The 20,972-nt window shown below is 42.1% G+C and overlaps 1 protein-coding gene and 1 long non-coding RNA gene across 2 annotated transcripts in view; one reads left to right on the forward strand and one right to left on the reverse strand.

Moving 5' to 3' along the window:
• Positions 1–20,972, reverse strand: part of TMEM132D (transmembrane protein 132D) — an 832,300-nt gene that overhangs the window by 382,145 nt on the left and 429,183 nt on the right. The window lies entirely within an intron of this gene.
• On the forward strand, positions 4,535–14,775 carry LOC105370074 (uncharacterized). The gene is made up of 6 exons (XR_007063613.1): positions 4,535–6,890; positions 6,999–7,106; positions 7,717–7,842; positions 9,005–9,052; positions 12,910–13,038; positions 14,387–14,775. It is a non-coding gene; the product is annotated as an uncharacterized LOC105370074 (long non-coding RNA).

Raw genomic sequence — 20,972 nt, forward strand, 5'->3', positions numbered from 1 at the left:
ATGTTCTGTTTGGTGTCACCTTGCTCTCACATCTGCCCTAAAACTTGTTTAGTGGCAGTTATCCCTTAACCAGATGAACTGAGAGTAAGAGAAGGATGGTTTTCCAAAGACCAGTTGGAGTTATCTTCTAAAATGGGTACCAGGCAGCAACTACAGCAATGTTCATGTTATGGCACCACTTGGCTTACACCATGTATTATAAATCTCTGTCTAGTTTGATTATCCTTCTGCCCAGAATTTAATTCTTTGAGGTTAGCTTTTGTGTCCCATTGAACTTTGTTTCCTACCGAGTGCTAAGCAGAGTGCACTGAATACTATGCACTTAACTGAATGACAGGTCCAAGCATTGCTATTGAGACTACACTATGGAATTATGGAAAAGATTAGACTTCAGATTTAGAGGTCTTGGTGTAAGGCACTCCTCTCAGTATCAAAGTTCCATTTCCATGTTAATGGTGTAGAGGGTGTGGCTCAGGTGACAGATGTGGGAACCAAAGCCAACAGGATCAATAATGTCAGAGAGGAAGTCAAGGCAGGGGTTTCTTATTCAGATTTTTCCTTGTGAGAACATCCCATAAGGGGCTGTAACTGGCTTTAAGAAGTCTCCTATTTTTCTTCCAGTTGGGGGATAAAGGAGCTGTCAGATGGTTAAGCTAAGGCATCCAAGACACAATGATACTTTACAGGCAAGTGGACAATATTTTTAACAACATGCAAAACCAAATGGCCCTTGAGTTCATGTGTAAGTCAAGCTTAAGAAGCCTTGCATTTGCATTTCAAAACAGTAAGAGGTTTCTCTTCAGAAATCACCTTTTTAGCTGTTGCAGGAACCAAGGACAGCGGGGTCTACAAAAGAACTGATTCCACCATAAGAGGATTGACTTTCTGTCCGTGTCTCTGCCTCTCATCTCCAGTTTGTCATCACTTAGCTCTGAGCCATCCACAAGTGCCATTACAATCCAAGATGGCAGGCAGTCAGTCTGTTTTCCTTGATGAACTCCATGGCTGTATATCCTGGTAGTGACCTCCCTTCTCTAGTTAAGGACAACCAAATGTAAGTGGAAGAAACCCAACTAATTAACAGTCAACCCGAAGAAAGCTTAAAAAGGGTCCAAATCAACACTCATGGTTCAGCCCCGTCTCTCAGGACCACATGTGGTACTTCTGCAGCAGACAGATGCATGTGACCAAAAGCTCAGAGTGTTCACCAATGAATAATTCTGCTGCTGATTCTGGAAGGGAAACTGCGTCTATCCAATAAGCATGCTATTAGGTTCCAGCATTATGAAAGTGTATTCAAAGACAGGCTATAAAGCCATGGGAATAAGACACTCAGAGCATTGAGACAAGAACAATGCCTTAAAGTAGTAGGAATGAGCAGAGCTCTGGAGGTAGACATCCTGGATCCAGACCCCAGGTCCATCATGTACAGGCTTTGCATCCTTGGACAAGGTACTTAACCTTTCTGAGTCTCTATTTCATCAACTTTAATTAAGGATAATCATAGCATTTATCTTATATCGTGGTTTTGAACCAAATGAGATGATGTATGTAGGATGATAGAGTTACTCTTTTAAAAAACACAGATTTGAGGGGGAAGCACACGTATATAACGTGATTATAATGCAATTTGATGACAAAACATAAATAGTAGTAAAAACATGAAAGAGAATGAAAATAGCTTTGGGAGAAGGAGCTGGGGAAGGCTTCTAAGGAGGGCACCATTTCACTGGGTATTGTATTATTACCAGGAATTCTCCAAGGACAGAAAGGGAAGGAGGGGACTGTAGACAGGATTTACAGTGTGTGCAAAGGCACGGTGGCTCAGGAGCACATTATGTGTCTTGGAAGAAGGTCAATGTACAGCTGGAGCTTAGAAAGCATAAAAGAGCATGTCTGGAGATGCTGCTTGTAAAATGGGTTTAGACCATATTAGAAGAGACCATGTCTAATAAAAAGGAGGTTAAACTGTGTCCTCTGGGGAGCCAGAGAGTTTTAATACAGGGTTATACACTGACTCCATTTTTTAATTAAAGGACAACCCTACTCTCTATGTGAAGAATAGACTCAAGAGGAGAGACAGTGGAGGCAGGGGGATGATTTAAGTGGCTATTGCAATAATCCAGGCAAGATACAATGGCAGGAGGTGAATAGTTTCAGGAGATGTTAGCAGACAGAACCATGTGACCGGGTGGATGGGCAGGTAGGATATTGGAGAAGTTAAAACAAAACCTTTGAAGTAAAATAAAAAATTCTGTTTTAGACTTTGGTTTTGCCAGTTGTTAATCATGTGTGTATATATTACTCTCCCCACTAATGCCATTTCTGAATGTCTAAACTAGAGATAACTTTAGTGGTCCTTTCTCAAGATCACCAATAAGAGAGTATATGAGCACAGTGCCAGGTACAGGGACATCACTCAGCAAACGTTACCTGCTGTTACCACCAATTTTATCACTGTTGTCATTATTATTATAATCCAGTGACCATGGCTGAGGAGAGAGAACAGATGGAAGTTGAGTCTCTAGTTCTCCCACTACTGGTGAAGCTGTCTCCCAGGATGCTATGGCTTGACATTGACCAACCCAAATATCTTCACTTCTTTCTTACCGCTGACTTCCCAGTGTCTGCCAGATTCTTCCAGGGGCAAATGGAGCTGTCCCTCCATGTGGCTCTCATGATGCAGGTAGAATAAAAACTGTTCTTTGTTCACAAAATTGACAATCTGAGTTTGTCCCAGAAAAGGGAAGTGGCCAAATCACCAAGCCATAGGTAACCATGTCTTCTTCATCTGCTCTCTTTTACCCATAAACGGCAGATGGAACTGTTTGTTTCTCTATTGATTCCTCATCCACCCAATGGTCATCCCAGTCCACTCTTGTTTTCTCTCCTCTACGAGCTGCATCTCTCGGGTTCCTGGTTTTGTGTTTCTGGTTGGTTTCAGCCAGAGGAAAATACTAGCAGGATATTAACAGGTAAAAGAAAAGAGAGTAGGGAGCATCGTATTAGACTTTTCTCTACTGCTATAAAGAACTACCTGAGACTGGGCAGTTTATAAGTCAGGAAACAACAGGTGCTGGAGAGGATGTGGAGAAATAGGAACACTTTTACACTGTTGGTGGGACTGTAAACTAGTTCGACCATTGTGGAAGTCAGTGTGGCGATTCCTCAGGGATCTAGAACTAGAAATACCGTTTGACCCAGCCATCCCATTACTGGGTATATACCCAAAGGATTATAAATCATGCTGCTATAAAGACACATGCACACGTATGTTTATTGCGGCACTATTCACAATAGCAAAGACTTGGAACCAACCCAAATGTCCAACAATGACAGACTAGATTAAGAAAATGTGGCACATATACACCATGGAATACTATGCAGACATAAAAAATGATGAGTTTATGTCCTTTGTAGGGACATGGATGAAGCTGGAAACCATCATTCTCAGCAAACTATTGCAAGGACAAAAAACCAAACACCGCATGTTCTCACTCATAGGTGGGAATTGAACAATGAGAACACATGGACACAGGAAGGGGAACATCACACACCGGGGCCTGTTGTGGGGTAGGGGGGAGGGGAGAGGGATGGCATTAGGAGATATACCTAATGCTAAATGACGAGTTAATGGGTGCAGCACACCAACATGGCACATGTATACATATGTAACAAACCTGCATGTTGTGCACATGTACCCTAAAACTTAAAGTATAATAATAATAATAAAGAAAAAAGGTTTAATTGACTCACAGTTCCACAGGCCATATGTGAAGCATGGCTGGGAGGCCCCAGGAAACTTACAATCATGTCGGAAGGGCAAAGAAAAAGGAAGCATGTCTTACCATGGCAGAGGAGGAGAGAGAAAGAGAGTGAAGAGGGAGGTGCCACACACTTGCAAACAACCAGATCTCATGAGAACTCACTCACTATCATGAGAACAGCAAGGCGGATGTCTGATCCCATGATTCAATCACCCCTCAGCAGGTCTCCCCTCCAACACTGGGGATTACAATTTGACATGAGATTGGGGTGGGGACACGGATCCAAACCATATCAGGCATGGATTCCCCACTTCCTCCCTGGTGCATTGCCTGATCTTGGACAGAAGCTGTGCTTCTCCATGGTTAGAGAAACACCTACCCACGGGCACTTCCTCCAGGCCTCCAGCTCTGATGAGCCTCTGATAATATCGTACTCTCCCCTGTCCTTTCAGACACAAAGGAGACAGCTCCTCTAGTCTCTGGTGCCTCAACGTCCCCTCTTGGGTCTTACATGGTGCCCACATCTCTGTAAATAGTCCCTCCACTAAATTTTCCTCTATTCCCTAGCTGAGTGTCTCTTCTCTTCTCTGCTGAGTTCTTGACTGCAACAACAATAAAAGGAGCAAAAGTCTCAGCTGGGCTACTAATCTTTGGGTGTAAGTCCTCCCTCTCCACTGCAAAGGATATAAAAAATTTAAACAATAAAAAATGGTGTTGGCCTTTCACAAGCTAGCATTTGCCTATATCAGAGTGGGCAGAGGTTTTTTTTTTTTTGTCTTTTAGATAGAGTTTAAGTTCACTGATAATGATACCATAAGACACAAGCTAAATTTGTTAAGATTTGCTGCTTTTTCTAAGAAAAGACCGTCTCAAATGGTTTAATCAGATGTGTCTGGTCTGATAAGGATAATTACACAGTGAGACTGTGGGCATCACACAGAGAGAGAAATAGATCTGTAAAAACCGCTAATGAAACTTGGACCTAAGGGGATTTGAACTCACAACCTGACAGCTAGGAATTAAATAGTCCAGGAAATTGGCAGTGGGCTAAACAATGGAATTCAGACGGGGCCCCTAGCAGGTGCTAAATTATTTCCCTGAGCAGGCTCATATTCGGCCGATGCGCCGAAGACAGGGAAGGAACACACACGTAAATCAGCTCTTGATTTCTGACACGGTTTCACCCAGTTGAAGTGGAGAGAGATGACACTCAGCTCACGGGGTGGTATCCAAGACCCATTGAACCTTGGATGTCAGAGCTGGAAGGCATCTCAGAAACCTCAGTCTCCACTCTCTCCATTATACAGAAAAAGAAAAGGCATTTTTCTCAATTACCAAGAAAAATCCTAAGGCTAGCTTTTGCTGAACTAGATTTGGAACATCACATGCTTCCAGAATAAGCACATCAGGGCTCTGTGCTCAGCGGGTTGTAATGGCACCAGGAACACTTCTTCCCTCCTCCCTGAAGGTCTCTGTGACTTTCCCTTCACCTTGGCTCATGGTGAGACCCTGCTTGACTAATGTTCCAGGATGGCTCAGCACTGCACCTGGAAATGAGGGCAGAGTGAGGCCTGGTAATCGCTGGACTTTCATGAGAGGAGCCTGTCTGCAGTGAAAATATCAAGAAAGCATTTGTTTTGTGCAGTCTTCAGGTTTAGAAAATCTTTCCTCTTCTGCGATGATTTCTTTGGACACACTTAACAATGAGTCATGCAAATTCAGTCACTGATCTCTCCAACGTTTATGGAGCTCAGAGAACTTCCCAGGAGTTGTTCTAGGTACTGATGCTATGCAGGTAATGAGACAGACAGAGCCTTTCTCTCCTGAAGCTTCCATTCCAGTGAGCAAGACAGACCATAATAAGATGCGTTCCATTTCAGATGGGAATACTTATTTTGAACAATGACAAAAGTGTGCCAAGAGGAATTCTAGAGAAGTGGCCAGGAGCAAGGCTCTGTGTTCAAGTTAGTGTTTCTGAATTTTAAGGGATGTAAATATTTGGAATTCAGAGAAGAAAAGGAAATTCCCGGGAATTCTCAAGGATTCATGAAATCATGGGTTATTCGTAAAACATTTTTAATGTTTTTCATATTTTTTACTCACTTTTATCCATGTATAACAGATCAGAAATATTCAGTTAAGTTGCATTTACAAATATCTGTAGCCTATAGTGAACAGGCAAACACTGTAAAACACCAGCACGCATTCAAACACAGTAAAACATCAGTTTCTAGAAAACATCCGATTAGGATTTCATATTAAGATTAGCAGTGATGCATAGAAGCATAGAACTGGGTGTCAAAATTGCCAATTTAGGGACTTACTTGCTTCCAAGGTGTGTTATTTTTGATACATCCTTCCTGGAGTGTGTATAAAGTATACTATGACTGCAAGTGTATTAGCTTTTCTTTTATCAGCAACAATGACTCACTTTTGGCAGCAGACAGAGCCACCAGCAGACATCATAGTACGGCCACAACTACAATCAAGACTGACCCATGAAATCATACGGGTTCTACTTCTACGTGCTCCTGTCCCAGTGACCCCAAATGTTAACTTTGATGCTGGATGCCCTTCTCTGTGTTCCCTGTGCTTGTGTATTCCCGTGATGTCCGTGGATTCTTCTGATCTAGACACATCTCTGTGGATAGTTAAGGTTTCATTCACACTTGAGAACTGCCACACATCTCCTCAATTTCTCCACTGATTATTTCCAGGATTGGAGATTTGAAAAAGCGGATAAGGTCCTTGAGAAATGTCAGGAAGGGATTCCTGCATAGGAACATGAACTCAGGCTGCCGGGATCTGAGTAGCAGCTGTGACATCTATTAGAACACACCCGCTTTGTGATGATGGGCTTGTTACCTACCTCTGTGTGACTGTTCTCTCATCCATGAGATGGCATCATAATTAGCACATGTGGCATGAGACTGCAGTAGATTAAATTCTCTAATGTATATAAATGAGTTCTAACTGCATTGGGCATCCAGTTAGCGCTCAAAAAAATGTTAGCTCCTATTAAAAAGTTTGCATTCGGGAGAGCCAAATACCACATGACGATGACCAGGGATGGATCTCTGAAGACAGAGTGCTATATATGACATGTTTCTTATGTGTTTCTATGTGTGTGTGTGATTAGTCCTTATGCAATTCAGTTAGTTAATGGCTTAAGGGGATCATCAAGAACTTTTTTTTTCCCACTGGGGCACTGATGGGCACCTTCATTTACAGATGACTGTGGATTTAAAGGCAATCCAGACTGCCAGAGACAGAGAAGCCAAAGTGCATCTGGGAAGCAAATGTGTGACTGCACATCACTGGACATCAAGTGTGGATTATGTGGGTTATGCTGATACTGGCAGCCAGAGGTGGACTTTAGTGACCCTTGACATGGGTATAGGTTCCCAGTATGGGTTAGAATAATGGCGGAGCTGGAAGTTTTAATGCTACTCTGCTGATAAGGGTTGAGGGTGGTGGGGACCACAGTCAACATGAACTAGAAAGAGTAGAGGTGCAGAAGGAATGAGCTGGGTGGAGGAGGGGAAGAATAGAAAAATCCACCACAGAGGCTTGCAGCTCAAGAGATCTTACCCAGGGTGAAAGTCTTAGTCCAGAAAGATGACAAGAGCCAGGAGAAGGACCCAGAAAGGGGACTCTGGGAACCAAGCCCAGGTATACAATTGTACCTGAGAATCTCAGGGGATGCAGATGGCAAAGAACAGGAGTAGAAATGTGGACTGAGAAACCAGACGGAAAGGCTCTGCTAGCCCAGCCACCTAAGAGGGGAGAGGAAGGGTTTAGTTTGTAGAAAGATGAAGATGGACTGGTATGAAAAACTAAAGAAGACAAAGAGAGCCCAGGAAAACAAGACAGATTATTTTTCCTTGTATCACATGAATAGACTGATCTAGGATCTCATCATTGTTTTGACTTATTCATCTTCTTACAGGTCTTCACATCAAACTGGAAGACTAGAGAAGCTGAACATATGAGTGAGCTCAGCTAAGAGACCAAGGAAAGAGGAGAAAAGAGGAACCAAGTGATAGGTGATTGAAAGATATGACTAGGCGGGAAGGTAGGTAGAGAGGTGGGTGGGTGGGTGGGTGGATAGATGGATGGATGGACGGGCGGACTGATGGATGGATGGGATAGCTAATTAGTAGATAGATAATCAGCAGGTACATAGATAGAGAAATAGCCATATGGGTACACACATGCATGAACACTGTTACCAAATACGGATAAGTTCAGGAAGACTAAGAAAGAACAAGGAGACATTCTAGGAATTCCACAAAGGTTATCTCCTTTGATGATTGAAAATCGTAGGGGATAGGTATTATTATCTCATGTTACACATTTTAAAAATTGGGCAAAAAGATTTAAGTAACTCACTCAAGGCCACAGAGCCAACAGGCTGTGAGCTGTGATTTGAGTAAGTTCTAAATAATAGAAAAACCCAGGCTTTTCTACTGTAAGAAAAGTCCTTAGACAGGAATGGTGGGAGAGAAGGGGAGAAATAAACAAACTGAGGCAGAGTGAATCTTTGGGGTAAGATTATTAAAGGCGCTTCTTGTTCTGAAGTTATTGACGAAAGGGAGTGTCGGGGATGTGGAATAAAGACGCACTTAGGAAGCACACTGCATTGGAAGAGACGCTCAGGGAAACACAGAGACAGGCAGATAGACTGAGTCAGAGATAGGAACACAAAAAGAGACGCTCAAAGGTATCCTGAAGAAAGGAGTATGGCTTGATTTTCACCTTAGACTCAGCAAGGAGTTTTAGAAATTGAAATAGTATTACAGACAAAAAAAAATTGTTACAATCTGAGTTCTAATTTTCACATATGTAAGATAAAAATTCCACAGTGCTTAGGACAGGATTTTACCACTGCTCCTACAAGGACATTATTATCAAAGCTATGTAGTTAACAAACACTATTCACACTACCACTCTGACAGCCCTCTGACTATTGTGGGGGGAGAAGTATAACTACCCAATTAATTTCACAATGGCACTAAATATTCCTCTTTGTTATACAGAAATTGCTTGCACAAACAAGGCTCTGGCAATTAAGTTTTGGCTACCCTTGGGATATGGTAGTAAATAATTATTTTGTCTAATTAATAATTTCAAATTGATTACAAACGAGACTTTGAGAATGGGAGGTTGAGGCAATAGAGAATTAACCCATTGGATTCCAAGCCTTTCAAGTAATAAGACTTGTCTTCCATACGCAGGCCAGTCTCGTGTCTCCCACTGCTTGTATGAGAAGGGCAAAGAGAGAGGTAGGTTCTTTTGCCTGAGACTCAATGAACCCAGCCTGGGAGTCCTCGGAGCCCACAATAAACTCCAGAGATTTCAAACTGACCCTAACATTTGAAAGTCTTAAAGAATCTGATCCAAGGGACACACACAGGAAAACTGAATCTAGACAGCATCACTTGTTTCCAAGACAGTCTATCAGATTGTTCTGGAGAAGAGCGCTGAACCTACACAGTGCTGTCCAGAATCAAACTCTGCTTTTCTCTCTTATGAGCTTCTGAATAAGTGTATCTACTTAGAAGATGCAGGAACTGTGTGAAGTTGCACAACATCTTGGAGCCTCATTTCCTTATTTTATTTTATTTATTTTTTTTGAGCATTCATGAGTGCCATTTTATTTTGGGTCTCCAGAAATACTGACAGATGTAGCAATAATCATTATCTTTAAACTTCACATTCACAGGTAAGCCTATCTCAGCTTTCCATATGGCAAAAAACATAAGCAACCCAAAACAGCCTGTGTCCTGGGATCCCTGTCCTATTTATTTATTTATTTATTTATTTATTTATGTATTATTATTATTATTATTATACTTTAAGTTTTAGGGTACATGTGCACAACATGCAGGTTTGTTACATATGTATACATGTGCCATGTTGGTGTGCTGCACCCATTAACTCGTCATTTAGCATTAGGTATATCTCCTAATGCCATCCCTCCCCGCTCCCCCCACCCCACAACAGGCCCCGATGTGTGATGTTCCCCTTCCTGTGTCCATGTGTTCTCATTGTTCAATTCCCACCTATGAGTGAGAACATGCGGTGTTCGGTTTTTTGTCCTTGCAATAGTTTGCTGAGAATGATGGTTTCCAGCTTCATCCATGTCCCTACAAAGGACATAAACTCATCATTTTTTATGGCTGCATAGTATTCCATGGTGTATATGTGCCACATTTTCTTAATCCAGTCTATCATTGTTGGACATTTGGCTTGGTTCCAAGTCTTTGCTATTGTGAATAGTGCCGCAATAAACATACGTGTGCATGTGTCTTTATAGCAGCATGATTTATAGTCCTTTGGGTATACACCCAGTAATGGGATGGCTGGGTCAAACGGTATTTCTAGTTCTAGATCCTTGAGGAATCGCCACACTGACTTCCACAATGGTTGAACTAGTTTACAGTCCCACCAACAGTGTAAAAGTGTTCCTATTTCTCCACATCCTCTCCAGCACCTCTTGTTTCCTGACTTTTTAATGATTGCCATTCTCACTGGTGTGAGATGGTATCTCATTGTGGTTTTGATTTGCATTTCTCTGATGGCCAGTGATGATGAGCATTTTTTCATGTGTCTTTTGGCTGCATAAATATTTTCTTTTGAGAAGTGTCTGTTCATATCCTTCGCCCACTTTTTGATGGGGTTGTTTTTTTCTTGTAAATTTATTTAAGTTCATTGTAGATTCTGGATATTAGCCCTTTGTCAGATGAGTAGGTTGCAAAAATTTTCTCCCATTTTGTAGGTTGCCTGTTCACTCTGATGGTAGTTTCTTTTGCTGTGCAGAAGCTCTTGAGTTTTATTAGATCCCATTTGTCAATTTTGGCTTTTGTTGCCATTGCTTTTGGTGTTTTAGACATGAAGTCCTTGCCCATGCCTATGTCCTGAATAGTAATGCCTAGGTTTTCTTCTAGGGTTTTTATGGTTTTAGGTTTAACATTTAAATCTTTAATCCATCTTGAATTAATTTTTGTATAAGGTGTAAGGAAGGGATCCAGTTTCAGCTTCCTACATATGGCTAGCCAGTTTTCCCAGCACCATTTATTAAATAGGGAATCCTTTCCTCATTGCTTGTTTTTCTCGGGTTTGTCAAAGATCAGATAGTTGTAGATATGCGGCGTTATATCTGAGGGCTCTGTTCTGTTCCATTGATCTATATCTCTGTTTTGGTACCAGTACCATGTTGTTTTGGTTACTGTAGCCTTGTAGTATAGTTTGAAGTCAGGTAGCATGATGCCTCCAGCTTTGTTCTTTTGGCTTAGGATTGACTTGGCAATGCGGGCTCTTTTTTGGTTCCATATGAACTTTAAAGTAGTTTTTTCCAATTCTGTGAAGAAGGCATTGGTAGCTTGATGGGGATGGCATTGAATCTATTAATTACCTTGGGCAGTATGGGCATTTTCACGATATTGATTCTTCCTACCCATGAGCATGGAATGTTCTTCCATTTGTTTGTATCCTCTTTTATTTCATTGAGCAGTGAGTTGTAGTTCTCCTTGAAGAGGCCCTTCACGTCCCTTGTAATTTGGATTCCTAAGTATTTTATTCTCTTTGAAGCAATAAAATTCAACAACCCTTCATGCTAAAAACTCTTGATAAATTAAGTATTGATGGGACGTATCTCAAAATAATAAGAGCTAGCTATGACAAACCCACAGCCAATATCATATTGAATGGACAAAAACTGGAAGCATTCCCTTTGAAAACTGGCACAAGACAGGGATGCCCTCTCTCACCACTCCTATTCAACATAGTGTTGGAAGTTCTGGCCAGGGCAATTAGGCAGGAGAAGGAAATAAAGGGTATTCAATTAGGAAAAGAGGAAGTCAAATTGTCCCTGTTTGCAGATGACATGATTGTATATCAGAAAACCCCATTGTCTCAGTCCAAAATCTCCTTAAGCTGATAAGCAACTTCAGCAAAGTCTCAGGATACAAAGTCAATGTACAAAAATCACAAGCATTCTTATACACCAATAACAGACAAACAGAGAGCCCAAATCATGAGTGAACTCCTTATTTTATTTTATGAGACAGTCTTGCTCTGTCACCCAGGCTGGAGTGCAGTGGAGCTATCTCAGCTCACTGTAACCTCTGCCTCCCAGGTTCAGGTGATTTTTGTGCCTCAGCCTCCCACGTAGCTGGGATCACAGTCACGTACCACCACACCCAGCTAATTTTTGTATTTTTAGTAGAGATGGGGTTTCACCACGTTGGCCAGGCTGGTGTCGAATTCCTGACCTCAAGTGATCCACCTGCCTCAGCCTCCCAAAGTGCTAGGATTACAGGCATGAGCCATTGCACCTGGCCCTCATTTCCTCATTTTAAAGTGGAGACATTCATAATATCTACGGCACAGGATTAATGTAAAGGGTGTTTGAGACAATGCAAGTAAATTGCGTGGCACATTCCTTAGCACATAACAAGCAAGAAGAAGTCATCACTATAGATTTATTATTGATAATGCTTTTGTTATTGTTATCATTATTTTCTGCAGATTCATTCCAAATAAATGACAAAGAAGAATGTTTCTGCTCTCTCATGCAGGTCACTAGAAAGTTGGTGTTACACGGAGAACTGGTATAACAGTGGCTGGTAGATTTTTCCTTTTTTTTTTTTTTTTTTTTTTTTTTTTTTTTTTTTTTTTTTTTTAGAGATGTGGTCTCACTCTGTCACACAGGCTGGAGTGCAGGGAGTGGCACGATCATGGCTCACTGCAGCCTTGAACTCCTGGGCTAAAGCAATCCTCCCCGCCCCCGTCCTAAGCCTCTCAAGTAGCTGGGGCCACAGGCACGCACTACTGTGCCTGGCAACTTTTCCTTTTTAAATAACAATTATTTTAGCTAAGCCTCAATTAATCATTGCTCCTCATAACAACTGTTATGAATCCTCTATCACCTATAATAACACTTGCCAATAATGTTCACTCATTAGCTCATTCACTTAACACACACTTATTAGGTACATTCCCTGGAGAAGACACTGTTCGACAGGCACTTCAGGCTCCAAGAGGGAACAGCACACAGTCTTCTGACTATGATGAATGACTTGCAGTTTCCCATTCACTCTGCTCATTGCTTACTTGTTCTCATGTATTATTTCCTTAGGCTTGAATGCTCTTTCCATCCTTCCCCTGTAGCTTGTTTCCGGAGCTCATCTTCATCCTTCAACACTCAGCTTCAACGTCACCATCTCCAGGAAGACTATGCAGATATATCCAGGTTTGCATGAACAGAGTAAGTTCTCCAAGGTGTCTATTGACCTACTCTGCACTGCTGTAATTATTTACATCTCCCCTTTTGGTTGGATGAATAGTCCTTAAAAGGCAGGAACAGTCCCTCAGAGCTGAATCTGTGATCTGACACACGGTAGGTGCCTAATAAAAATATACGTCAAATGAATAACAGAATAAAATTTAAAATATGCATCTGTAATTAAAGTCCAACAGATAAAATAAGTACTGTTTTTGTAAGTGCTTGCAAGAAACAGACACTAATGCAACTCTGGCTTAGACCAAAGAATAGTAATTTGTTGGATTATATGACTGGGAAATTCAAAGGGTGGGTCTGGATCCAAACATGGTTGAATCCAGGATTGAAACTTTATCATCAGGACATATTCTTGGCTCTGCTTTTCTCTATCTCAATTTCCAAGCAGACTCTCAAAGATGGTGAAAGGAAGCTGGGGGCTTAAGAGAAACCAGTTCCAGGTCCCCACTGGAAAGATGGGTGGCTTCCCTATAGCTCCAGCCAATGTCCTGGGATGGAATTTCATTGGCCATGCTTGAGTCACATGACCATCCCTGACCAATCACTGTGGCCAAGAGGTTGAGCATTCTGATTGGCTGGGGCTGGGTGACATCACTTGCACCTGCTACTGTGGTGGAACCCAGAGGAGATTAAAAGGGAGGAGGCTCCTCTGCACCCTCGGGTATCACAGGAATTTGGGATGATGACAGAGCAGACATGCCAAGGTCAAGTCATTTGAATTTGGCTTGAAAACCAGAAAGAATTTAGGCATGTGGGGACACTCTGTGTGGGAAGGCATGGCAGAATGACCTGTTCTGTGCTTGAACAGCTGTAATGGACTAAATGTTTGGAAATACAGGTTAGATCCAGGTCCCAAAGGGCCCTGATTGCTAGGCAGCAGGATTCCAATTTGCTCAGAAGGCAATGGAAGGCCACTGAAGCTTTTCACTCGGAAGGAGGCAAGCCCAGAACCGCGCTTTAGAGGGATTAATCAAGCAGCTGTGTGTAAAATACCCTGGGTAAATGTCCGAAAAGCATTTCAATAGCCTAGGTAACAGATAACGAAGCTCTCAATGTGCTGAGAAGAGCACACACGTGACACTTGGATTCAGGAACAGCTGAGGACAGAATTGACACTCCTGAAATATATTTTTCTACCCAGGCCAGCTCCTCCACTTCAGCCACTCTGCATCTGAGGCTGGCATTTAGTAGATAAAGCAAAGACATTTTCAAGGGCTATCATTACTGTGCATTACACAAAGCTTTGTGTGTGTGTGTGTGTGTTTTCTCCCCTGGCTTCTGACTCGGAGGAGTGGCTTTTTTCTTTCTGTTGCAGAAAGAAGAGGGGTGGTGAGCAAAGAAATGAGCTCCATCTCTATCTGTAGACTCTGACCCTGGCTGATTCCTTTGTGCACTGTGACAAATGGAGACACAGAAGATGGAAAACCACATTCCTAATTTCTTTCCCTGACAGACACCTATTAGCATTCTGTATTGCAAAGAAGACCTGAAAGACGTGGATGCAAATATCATCAAGGCAGCATCTCTGCATCCACAGGAAGACAATTAAACACACACAAGTTGCCTACACCTCCAGCCTCAGACAAGCTCCAAGGGCTGCCTTGAAGTCCTTCAGTCAATAAGATTTTTTTTTTTGTTTTACCTTTTTGTATCCTCAAAATAAAAGTCACAAGACATTAATAAAAAAGCAAGTTGATCCATAAATAGTTCCCCAGTTTTATCTCAGTGATTATACTTTTTCCTCTTGATGCCTCCAGTGGCCTCCTCTTTCTGTCTCTCTACTTCGTAAGATATTTTACACAAGATACTTTGAAAACAACTCTTCCCTCTGACAGCCATATATTTCTAAGTGCTCCAAGCTGAAGGTGTTGGTGCCTTTTATTTTGCTTCATTTTTATGATTTGATAAATCAATTTTAATGTCATGTTTTTAAAATCAGGCTTCTTCCAGATGGAAACAGATGTTTTGGTTTCTTGACACTGCTTGTTTTCATATGGCATTCTCTGAAGGAAGCCAAGTGGTAATGACAGGTGGAGTGACAGACACTCTGTCTCCTACACTGTGCCCCAAACCTGCACATCACCTAAGACATTAAAGCAACAACAACAAAATAAATTTTTCTCTTTTCAACTTAATGAAGAAAACTGGTACCCAAACCAAGGACCTTCAGATCTAAGAGAAAGAGCACTGCTGTTTGCCTCAAAAGTCTCTACTACCTGCTCAATAAATCAGAAAGCAAGAGTGACGTTCTGTTTTCCGTTAGTGGAGCAGCCCTTTACTCACTCCTCGAATCAAGAGATGAAAAGTGTCTTCCATTTTTGGTTTTCACTCATGGTAGACATTTCTGGTTCTGACCCTTAAAACTTATTCATAGGATGCCAACTCTGTGATAACCTTTCTCAAGCTCTCAAGATGTGCCCCCCGTGTCACCTGGGAGCTTGTTAAAAATGCAAGTTCTCCATAACTACTGAATCAGAAATTCTGGAGGGGGGGCCAGCCATCTGTGTTTTACCAAGACCTTCAGGTGATATGGATGAATGTTAAATTTTGAGAACCTCTCCTATAGGGTAACTGAGAATTTTAAAATTAGAACATTCTAACAAGATAACACAATGTACAGTCCATCCATCACTCAAGCAATCACTGAGCCCCTGCTCTGTCTCAGGTATACGGCAGTGACCACCTCACCGGACCCAGAGAGTGGGAACCAGTAACTGGTCATTGCTGCCACTCTGGTGTGGCACTCCCTCTTTTATAAGGGAAAAAGGAGATTTTAGAAAACAGAATGGACAGACTTTAGCTTCTGTCCTTTAGTTTTGTCCTTTGTCGTCTCTGTTGAAGATTTAAACCACAGAGTCACCTTCAAAGTGAAATACAAAAAATATTTTGCATTGTGATACTAAGAAACTTGAAGTCAAAACCTTAGGTCTCTGTTGGATGCAAAGTTAACTTCTGTGAATTGCCTGCTCCTTTCCAAAGTCTGCACTGGGGGGTCATAATCCCCTTCAAGCCTTTGTAAGATATGCTGAGTGGAAAAGGTATTGACTATGTAATTTTCCAGAGGGATGAAATATGGCTGCCCGGCCTGTGTACAGTATGTGAATCAACCTAGAATCTATACATGGGGAGATACTGGACGGATCAATCTTTATTCCTAGGCAATCAAGCAGGGAATCATCTCCAGATCTCTCTATAGACAGCTCATAAAATGGGGTTCTAAATTTGTGGTGTGGACTATAAAAGCGATTTGTTTTGGGAGAACAGTCACATAAGATGAGCGCATTTGGATGATAAACTTCACAGACAATTCCCCTGGGCAACTGTGCAAGATTTTGTAGGAGGTTTCTTTGTAAAGTTACCAAGGCAGCTTCTAAGATTTTGTTTTTTTAAATTTTTGGTGTGGTCAGTTATGTTAGGCAACTGAGGAGACTGCCAACACGTGTAGTGTAGTTTATGTAAGAGAAACTCTGAGGTCCTCGGAATGATCATTTGTGAAGCCCTCCCTACTTTGCGCCAGGCATATACTAGGGGTTGGGCTTATGTTTCCTGATTTACTTCATCCTCCTGGTGATTCTCTGTGATGGGTACTTTTTCTTGTCCTTATTTTTCAGGTGAGGACATCGCTGCTTGCACAAATAAAGTGGCTGTATTGGTGTCTCCAAAACTCCCCATTGTTTAAGGGGGTTATAAATATTGTGCAAATCGTAAAGAGTTTCGGCATCATGTCTCATGACAACATGAAATTGACAACATGAAAATTATTTTTACAATTCTATAAACTGCTTCTGACATAAGAAATTGACATTTATGAAACTGGTTGCTCCTCCAAAGGCCTGAAAATGACCCACAAGTTGTCACAGCACCTTTTGTCCTTAGAAACACAGAGGAAGCTTGTCAGTTGTGAGAATTTTGAGGTAACCAGGATGGGCTATGCATAAGTCAATAAATAACCACAAAAGTTGGTCTGTGGAATAAGAGGAAAGAAAGAAGTAGAAGAGAGTAGAGATGACATCATGAGAACACAGAGAGGCTCAGATAGAGAAAATGGGTGCATGAGCATTTCTGGGATCTAGGAAAGCTGACCACATGTCTTTGACTCATGTTTATTATCTGGATCTTTGCTCTAAATCCCTCATGGCATAAGCAAGCAGAAGTGAGTTTCTCTTCCTTGCAATCAAATCCCACTTAATTAGGAATCCTAATTAGGCTCCAGGAAAAGCACCTCTTATTTTGTTGCACTTCACTTTATCGTGTTTTGTAGATATTACTTTTTTTTTTTTTTTAACAAATTGAAGGTTTATGGCAACCCTGCATTGAGCAAGTCTATCGGCTCCTTATTCCCAGCAACATGTGCTCACTTTGTGTCTCTGGCACATTTTGATAATTCATGCAATATTTTAAGTTATTATTATTACAGTATCTGTATGGTGATCATTGATCTTCTGTGTCACTGCAATTCTTTGGGGGCACTATGAACTGTGCCCATAAGATGAAGAACTTAATCAATAAATGTCATCTGTGTTCTGCCTGCTCCACCAACCAGCTGTTCCTCCATCCTTCTCCCTCTCCTCGGGCCTTCCTATTTCTGACAAACGACAGTAGTGAAATGAAACCAGTTACTGACCCTACAATGGCCTCTAAGTGTTCCAGGGAAAGGAAGGCTCCTCCATCTTTTACTTTAAATCAAAACTAGAAATGATTAACCTTCATGAGGAAGGCATGTCAAAAGAGGTGATAGGCCAAAATCTAGGCTTTTGTGTCAAATAGCTAACCAAGCTGTGAATGCAAAGGAGAAGTTTTTGAAGGAAACTAAAAGTGCCACACCAGTGAATACACAAATGATAAGAATGTGAAACAACCAACCTTATTGCTGACTGGAAAAAGATTTAAGTGGTTTGGACAGAAGATCAAACCAGCCACAACATTCCCTTAAGCCAAAGCCTACTCCAGAGCAAGGCCCTAACTCTCTTCAGTTCTGTGAATCTTAGAGAGGTGAGGAAGCTACGGAAGTTGGAAGTTGGCAGAGGTTGATTAATAAGGCTTAACAGAATCAACTGTCTCCATGACATAAAAGTGCAAAGTGAAGCAGCAAGTGCTGATGGAGATGCTGCAGCAAGTTATCCAGAAGATCTAGCTAAGACCACCAATGAAGATGGCTAAACTGAACTACAGATTTGCCATGGAGAGGAAACTGCCTTCTGTTGGAAGAAGATGCCATCTAGGAGCTTCACAGCTGGAGAGGAGAAGTCAATACCTGGCTTCAAAGCTTCAAGGGACATGCTGACTCCCTTGTTAGGGGCTAATGCCACTGGGGACTTCAAGTTGAGTTCATGTCCTTTGCAGGGACTTGGATGAAGCTGGAAACTATCATCCTCAGCAAACTAACACAGGAAGAGAAAACAAAACACCTCATGTTCTCACTCATAAGTGGGAGTTGAGCAATGAGAACACATGGACACAGAGGGGAACATCACATACTGGGGCCTGTCGTTGGGTTGGGGGGACGGGGAGGGAGAGAATTAGGATAAATACCTAATGCATGCGGGGCTTAAAACCTAGATGACGGGTTGATAGGTGCAGCAAACCACTATGGCAGGTGTATACCTATGTAACAAACCTGCATGTTCAGCACGTGTATCCCGGAACTTAAAGTAAAAAACAAACAAACAAAAAACAACCCCATCAAAAAGAGGACCTGTTTCATATGCATGAAAAAGGTGGTTTGTGGACATAGTTGAAATGACAACAAAGGATTTACAATATTGCTTCAACCTAGTTGATAAAACAACAGGTTTTGAGCGGATTCTTCAATTTTGAAAGACGTTCTACTGTGAGTAAAATGCTATCAAATAGCATCACATGCTACGGAGAAATCTTTCATGAAAACAAGAGTCAATCAATGTAGGACACTTCACTGTTGTCTTATTTTAAGACTTTTTTTTTTTTTGAGACAGAGTTTCACTCTTGTTGCCCAGCGCAGTGGCCTGATCTCGGCTCACTGCAACCTCCTCCTCTTGGGTTCAAGTGATTCTCCTGCCTCAGCCTCCTGAGCAGCTGGGATTACAGGCATGTGCCACCACGCCCGGCTAATTTTTGTATTTTTAGTAGAGAAGGGGTTTCACCATGTTGGTCAGGCTGGTCTCGAACTCCTGACCTCGTGATCCACCTGCCTCGGCCTCCCAAGGTGCTGAGATTACAGGCGTGAGCCACTGCGCCCAGCCAAGACTTTTAAGACATTGCCACAGTCAGCCTAACCTTCAGCTACCACCACCCGGATCAGTCAGCAGTCGTCCATGTCGGGTAAGACCTTCCAATAGCAAAACGATTAGGACCCACTGAAGGCTCATTAGCAGTTTTTGGCAATAAAGTGATTTTAGTTTTTGTTTTTTTTTTTTTTTTTTTTTTGAGACCAAGTCTTGCTCTTGTTGCCCAGACTGGAGTGCAGTGGCATGATCTCGGCTCACTGCAACCTCCACCTCCCAGGTTCAAGTGATCCTCTCGCCTCAGCCTTCTGAATAGCTGAGACTACAGGCACTCACCACCATGCCTGGCTAATTTTTTGTATTTTTAGTAGAGATGGGGTTTCGCTATATTGGCCAGGCTGGTCTCGAACCCCTGGCCTGCAGTGATCTGCCCGCCTCGGCCTCCCAAAATTCTGGGATTACATGTGTGAGCCACTGCACCTGGCCTGGTTTTAGTTATTTTTAGCTAAAGTATGTAATTGCTTTTCAGACATAACACTATTGCACACTTGATAAACTATAGAATAGTGTAAACATAACTTTTCTATGTACTGGAAAACCACACACAAAAAATTGTGTGATTCACTTTAGTATGGTGATCTGGAACTGAACCTGCAGTATCTCCGAGGCATGTCCATAGCAGATCTTTATTTATTCACATGCCTAGCAAAACACCTGGTACATAGTAGATGCTCAACAAAAACGTCCCAATGAGCAAATTCATTCATTAAATACACATTTTTGGAAACCACATTCTTGTATAACCAACAAACCAGGCATCTATGAACCCCTGAGCTGTGTTGTTTTTTGGAGACTTTCAACGGCATGGCTTGGGCTTTTAAACATGCAGTGACTGGCAAAGCAGATCACTGCCTTTCACCTGCTCCTTTCTGTAACCCTTCGCCTCCGAATAGTTCCAATATCTGCATTAATTCAGGTCAATGAGCAACACAGTCGGTTTCTGGGCACTAACCAATCTTTTCAAAGGCATGTGCATTGTCACAGGGGACTCGGGAACAGGAGTCTCCAAAACCACAGTAATATTTTTACTATTAATAAAGATGTATGCCCTTCTGCTCCCTCCTAACACATTACATATTTATCAATTTATTGAGTGCTTGCTCTGGGCCATGTACAATGGCACCCTAAGTACTTTATTACAATTAATTCTCACATCAACCCATTAACTGGGTGAAGTCATTGTAATGATTCTCAGCTGAGGGTTGAAGAAACCCAAACTCAGAGGTGAGCTATTTTGCCCAAGTTCACAGACCACAAGTAGGATCACTGGTGCTCAAAGGAAGTTCACAACATCGCAGTCTGCAGGCTTGACTTCCAGCCCAGTGTTCTTCTGCTGGGACTAAATCTGCTGTCCCTGACTGACTGACTGTCAGAAGTTGACAAGACCCAGTGACAGAGCACTGAACTGCCAGCCTTCTCGTCCCTTCGCGTTGACAGCTGAATATCCCATTGACGTGGATGCTGTCATCATTAACTTATAGGCTACAGCGTGGGTGAACTGGGGGAGTGCAAAGGTGAGGGCTGAATCATGGGAGGGCTCTACATGTTCAGTCTGCCCACTCATCTTGTCCAATTCTGGTCTCTGATCATGATGCCAGCAGATATTTTCTGGAAGCGATGACATTGACCTCCAGAGGA

Source organism: Homo sapiens, chromosome 12, assembly GCF_000001405.40.
Source record: "Homo sapiens chromosome 12, GRCh38.p14 Primary Assembly".
Lineage (NCBI taxonomy): Eukaryota > Metazoa > Chordata > Mammalia > Primates > Hominidae > Homo > Homo sapiens.